Source organism: Homo sapiens, chromosome 2, assembly GCF_000001405.40.
Source record: "Homo sapiens chromosome 2, GRCh38.p14 Primary Assembly".
NCBI classification, from domain to species: Eukaryota; Metazoa; Chordata; class Mammalia; order Primates; family Hominidae; genus Homo; species Homo sapiens.
Window position 1 is genome coordinate 216377849 of NC_000002.12, and position 7256 is coordinate 216385104.

The following is a 7256-nucleotide window of genomic DNA, read 5'->3' on the forward strand; positions in this document are numbered from 1 at the left end:
GGATCCTTCCCCAGTTGAGCCTTGAGATGACTACAGTATTGGCTGACACCTTGATTGCAGCCTTATGAAAGCCCTGAGCCAGGGGTCCCAGAAAAGCTGTGCCTGAATTCCTAACTGTCAGAAACTATTAGATAGATGTGGTTGTCTTAAGCCCTCTATATGTGATCACAGCTGCCACCTCCAAAACACGTACACAGAGATAATTGCCTGTCAACAAGAGTCCGCTTCCCTGCATAAAAACATTTTGGACAGATATCAATCTGCAAGCCTTGGAAGAGATAAAGTTTTCAGAATCCCTCATTGAGCTTCGGAACACAGTGTAGATATCAAGTGACCATGGCATGTGGTGGGATGGGAACTAGAGACTTATTTACTTGGTGTAGACCAAGTCTCTAATGACTAAGAACTCAAGAATGAAATGTTCCAAACATGGAAGGGGAATCCCAGAACCATCTTCTGTTTCCTTTTCTGAAATTTAGACTCCATGGGGCAAGTATTCTAGAGGGGATCCATTTTGATCCCATGTGCCTAGATCAGTGACGGGACATAGCAGGCGCTCAGTAAAAATGTGTTGAATGGGTTGTGTCCATCATCACTGTAGTCAGCATAATTCTAAGCCTAGTTCTCTTTGACTTATAGATCATAAGAATCCAGAGCAATATTGCAGCCTCATCTTCACCAATATCCCCAGCCTCTTATCCAAGCCTTTCACTAAACCATTGACAAGGGGGTAATTTGAAATGGATTTTAATTTCCTCTCCTATTTCTGCTCCTGACCTATGTTACTCTGCTCCATACTTCTCAAGGAGTTTCTGGTGAGCTGAGAGGAGCACACTACGTTGTGGGGTAATTTGTTACACAGCAATTGATAACCCATAAATAAGGGCACTTAGAACACCAACCATTATGCCCATACTTCCTGTATCTCAAGGTATGCTACCCTAACCTCAGACAGAGTTTGATCATTCATAAGGCATTGAAAGTATAAATGTGAGAGCTCATGGGGGTGGGGAGGGGGAAGTATTTTGATATGCTTAATTGGTGAGCATGAATTCATGCCCTAAGATTATCTTAAGGATCACCTGTGGTGCTCATTAAAGGGGCAGATTCCTTGGTAGACTCTCGCCTCCAGAGATTCCAATTTAGTACAGTGTAGGATTTAGGTTATGCACTTTGGATTAGTTCCTTGGGCAATTCTGAGACAGGTGATCCTTGAGCTCCCTTGTGAAGAACACTGACTTAAAAGGTAAAGCCCAGAGCCAGGACCCCACCCTTCAAAGTTATCAGCTACTGTGAGAGCAGAGCTAGCCACTGCCTGCCATGAGTTAATATTACTCTGTAGACATGAGTGAGTAAAGAGCAATTTCTGGATCAATGTCAAAAAGAAGCAACATAGTGAAACAGAAAAGATGCTGAACAGAGATTTGATCATTTGGCACTGGAGCCCTAGACCCTCCCAGTGATAGGTGTACAGTAGGGAGCAAGACAGATCATGTCCACGCCCTCACAAAGTTAGCCTAGTGTGAAAGACAGAAAAGTAAGCAAATGAAATAAGTTAATTTCCTGTGTTGATAAGTGCTATAAGTAGACTAAACACAGTAATGTGATAGAGAATGACCCACTAGAATGTGTGTTGATGAGAGGAAAATAGATGGTAAGGGCTGCGATGGCTTTCCTGAATTTAGACCTCAAAGAGAAGGAACTAATGATGTGAAGATCTGAGGCTGTTTTCAATCAGAGAAGTCAGCAAGCACAGAGCCTGAGGTGAGACTGATGTGGCACATTAGGGGAACAGAAAAAAAGGCCAGTTGGAGGCAAGGCAACGAGAGGCGGGGTAATGGAAGATGAAATGAGAGAGGAGGGCAGGAATCATGTTATGTAGGCTCCTGTAACAATGGGAAAAGAGATTGCATTTAATTCTAACTGAGCTGGAAAGCCACTGAAAGATTTTAAGTAATGGATTTTTATTTTGTAAAACATCCCTTTGGTTGCTGAGTAGGGAGTGGACTGGAAGTAGGCAAGAGTGGAAACAGCTTGGCCACTAATCAGCTGTATGACTCCAGAGATTGAGTACACTTGGGGCCTCAGTTTCCCAATCAGTAAAATGTTTGCTTGGCACCAAGGGAGCAGTATGGTTCCTTCTAGCTTCACTATTCCATGAATACACCGTGGTAGCCTGAATTTGAGCCAAGCTCTTATATGTGAGTGGAAAATAAGTCTCTGGTTTCCATCTCACTGCATGGCATGGTCACTTGATATCAGCTCAGCACTTCCTCTTCTTCTCCAAGGCTCCTGACTAGTGCCTGAAACCACACAGATGGCCTCCTTGCCTGTCGCATCCCAGCCCAGAGCCATCTGCCGGGGTTTCCAGTCTGGGGATGCTCCTGGGGGGAAATAACTGGCCAGCCTGCTCTGTAGCATCACCGGCCCTGCTACCCACCCCCAGCACCACCCTGCTGCCTACCGCCAGCCTGTGCAGGCTTCTTGGAGCTCTTTTTCTGGGAAGGCAAATGGCATTATTAAATATTCAATATGCCTGCAAAGAGGCAGTGGACATGATAGACGGAACCTGCTTTTCAATTGTGCTGAGAGGGCAGCTGCCTACTCAGAGTGAGGCTGGGACAAAGGAGGTGTGGTCTCAGCCCATGCTTCCCGGGGCTTCTCTGATGTGTCCACCCTACATGTGGTCCCAGACATGAGGGCTTTTACCCTTCATGGGGACAAGTCCCTCCACAGACCATTCCTCATTGGTGACATATCATCTTGTTCAAGTGACATGTGACAATATATGGAATTATAGGTGTCTGAGATGTATGTGTGTACATATATAGTTCTAAACAGAAATGTAATCTGTATTTACCTCAAATTCCCCCAGCTCATATGTGTACAGTGATACCCACATTCTGCAAATGTTAGCCATGTACACGTAACCCATTTTAACACAGGGCCCACTTAAAACAATGTGGCTTTAAAAACAGCCTGTTTTAAATGGCTGCCCAATGGGCACATGTAGCTTGATAGTCAGACAAATAGAAATATTGATTTTTAGATACAGACATAACAACAATAAAACCTTTAATTTATACACGTCCTTCTCCTGGGGAATCTGCAGGATGTGTCACTTCTCCCCTATGTGGAGAGTCTAAAAGTTTATCTCTGCATGAGATGTGAAGCAGAATTAATATAAACACAGAGAAAGTCCTATGACATTCTAGTTAATGCTACCTATGCACCACATGCACCCTAAGTATCTGAATTCACACACCATCCAAAATATAAATTATAACAAGAATTTGTATGTAATACCATACACATGCATGCTATGTGACTATGTCCTAAGTAACATTACCTGGAGATTAAAAAAACCTTTGTAAGTGCATTTTCATTTCTGCCTTTTCAGATTAGGTATAGTTATTGATATAGAACACTATTACATGATTAGATAATTGGGTAAAAATCCATTAAGTGATTCACTTAAGATTCGTGCAATTTGCTATATATAGGTAAATACCTCAATATTAAAAAGTGAGAAAAAACAAAGTTGCCTCTTGAAATCCAGGATGCTGTCTCATAACCTGGGGCCAGGGTAATAAAGAGTATAGGCATACCTCGTTTTATTACATGTCACTGTATTGCACTTCACAGATCTTGCATTTCTTACAAATTGAAGGTCTGTGGCAACCCTACATGGAGCAAGTCTATCGGTGACATTTTCACAATAACCTGTGCTCATTTCATGTCTCTATGTCCCATTCTGGTAATTCTCACAATACTTCAAACTTTTTCATTATTATTATATCTGTTATGGGGATCTGTAATGAGTGGTCTTAGATGTTACTATAGTAATTGTTTTGAGGTGTCATAAGCCATGCCCATATAAAACAATACATTTAATTGATAAATATTGTGTATGTCTTGATTGCTCCACTGACCGGCCATTCCCACATCTCTTTCCTGCTTCTCAGGCCTTCCTATTCCCTGAGACCAAACCATACTGTAATTAGGTCAATTAATAACACTACAATGACCTCTAAGGGTGCAAGTGAAAAGCAGAGTTGCATGTCTCTTATGTTAAATTGGAAACTAGAAATGATTATGCTTAGTGAGGAAGCCATTTTGCAAGTAGAGATAGGCCAAAAGCTAGACCTCTTGAGCCAAACAGCAAAGTTATGAATACAGAGAAAAAGTTCTTGAAGGAATTTAAAAGTACTACAGTGAACACATGAATGATAAGAAAGCAAAACTGCCTCATTGCTGATATGGAGAAAGTTTTAGTGGTCTGAATGGAAGGTCAAACCAGACACAACAGTCTTTTAAGCCAAAGACTAATCCAGAGCAAGGACCTAACTCTCTTCAATTCTATGAAGGCTGAGAGAGGTGAGGAAGCTGCACAAGAAAAGCTGGAAGCTAGCAAAGGTTGGTTCATGATCCTGTCTTCATAACATGAAAATACAAGGCGAAGCAGCAAGTGCTCGTGGAGAAGGGGCAGCAAGTTACCCAGAAGATCTAGCTAAGACAATAAATGAAGGTGGCCACACTAAATAACACATTTTCAGTGTAGACAAAACAGACTTATATTGGAAGAAGATACTATCTAGGACTTTCACAGCTAGAGAAGTAATTGCCCAGCTTTGATGCTTTAAAGGACAGGCTGACTGTCTTGTCAGAAGCTAATGCAGCTGATGACTTTAAGTTGAGACTAATACTCATTGACCATTCCAAAAATCCTGGGGCCCGTAAGAATTATGCTAAATCTACTCTGCCTGTGCACTATAAATGTAACAACAAAGCCTGGATGACAAGACATTTGTTTATAGCAAGGTTTACTGAATATTTGATGTATATATATACACACACACAAATATACATATATATGTGTGTATATGTATACATATATGTGTGTATACATATATGTGTGTATATGTATACATATATGTGTATGTGTGTATACATTTGTGTACATATGTATACATATATGTGTACATATGTATGCATATATGTGTACATATGTATGCATATATGTGTACATATGTATGCATATATGTGTACATATGTATACATATGTGTATATGTATACATATGTGTATATGTATACATATGTGTGTACATATGTATACACAGGTGTGTATGTATACATATGTGTGTACATATGTATACATATGTGTGTATGTATACATATATGTATACATTATTTGTCATTGTCTTAGATACACACACATACATACATATATACATATGCATACATATATTTGTACATGTATATATACATATACATATATACATATACATATATGTACATATATATGTATATGTATATATACACATACACACACACACATATATATATATATTTTTTGAGAAAGAGTCTTACTCTGTTGCCCAGGCTGGAGTGCAGTGGTGTGATCTCAGCTCACTGCAACCTCCGCCTCCTGGGGTCAAGTGATTCTCCTGCCTCAGCCTCCTGAGTAGCTGGGACTACAGGAGCCTACCATCACACCTGGCTAATTTTTTTTTTAAGTAGAGATGGGGTTTCACCATGTTGCCAGCCTAGTCTTGAACTCCTGACCTCAGGTGATCTGCCCACCTTGGCCTCCCAAAGTGCTGGATTACAGGCATGAGTCACCATACCTGGCTGGTTTACTGAATATTTTAAGCTCACTGTTGAGAACTACTGCAAAGAAAAAAAAGATTCCTTTCAAAATATTACTGCTCATTAACAATGCACCTGGCCACCCAAGAGCTCTGATAGAGATGCACCAGAAGATTAATGCTGTTTTCCTGCCCTGTTAACCCAACGTCCACTCCATAGCCCATGGATCAAGGAGTCATTTTAACTTTCCTGTCTTGTTGTTTAAGAAATACATTTTGTAAGGCTATAGCAGCCATACATAGTGATTCTTCTGATGGATCTGGGTAAAGTACCTTGAAAACCTTCTGGAAAAGATTCATCATTCTAGATGTCATTCAGCACATTTGTGTTTCATGGGAGGAGGTCAAAATATCAACTTTAAACATGAGTTTGGAAGAAGTTGATTTCAACCCTCATGGATGACTTTAAGGGGTTCAAGACTTCAGGGGAGGAGGTCACTGCAGATGTGGTGGAAATAGCAAGATAATCATAATTAGAAATTACAGCCTAAAGATGCTGCTGAGTTGCTGTAATTTTATGATAAAACTTAAATGAATGAGGAGTTGCTTCTTATGGATGAGCAAAGAAAGTAATTTCTTGAGATGGAATCTACTCCTGGTGAAGATGCTGTGAACATTGTTGAAATGACAACAAAGGATTTAGAGCATTCCATACACTTAGTTGATCAAGCAGCTGCAGGGCTTAAGAGGAGTGACTCCGTTTTGAAAGAAGTTCTACTGTGGGTGATATGCTATCAAACAGCATCACATGCTACAGAGAAATCTTTCTTAAAAGAGCCAGTTGGGCCAGGAACGGTGGCTTGTGCCTGTAATCCCAGCACTTTGGGAGGCCAAGGCAGGCAAATCCCTTGAGGTCAGGAGTTTGAGACCAGCCTGGCCAACATGGTAAAACGCCGTCTCTACTAAAAATATAAAAATTAGCCAGGCATGGTGGTGGGCATCTGCAATCCCAGCTACTCTGGAGGCTGAGGCAGGAGAATCAACCTGGGAGGCAGAGGCTGCAGTGAACTGATATCATGCCACCACACTTCAGCCTGGCAACAGAGCAAAACTCTGTCTCAAAAAACAAACAAACACAAAAGAGTCAATCAATGCAGCCAACTTCTTTATTGTCTTATTTTAATAAATAACCACATGCCAGGTGCGTGACTCATGCCTGTAATCCCAGCACTTTGGGAGGCTGAGGATTGCTTGAGCCCAGGAGTTCAAGACCAGCCTGGGCAACATAGCAAGATCCTGTCTCTACAAATAATTTTTAAAAACTAGCCAGGTGTGGTGGCACGTGCCTGGTGTCCCAGCTACTTGAAAGGCTGCAGTGAGCTGTGATTGCACCTCTGCACTACAACCTAGGTGTGACAGAGTAAGACCCTGTCTCAAGGAAAAAAAAAACAAAAACAAAACCCACTGCCACTCCAACCTTCAACAACCACCAGCCTGATCCACCAGCCACTGTCAACATAGAGACAAGGCCCTCCACCGGCAATAAGATTATGACTAGCTGAAGGCTCAGATGATCACTTGCATTTCTGGCAATAAAGTATTTTTTAATTAAGATGTGTACATTGTTTTTTAGACACAATGTTATTGCACACTTAATAGACTACAAG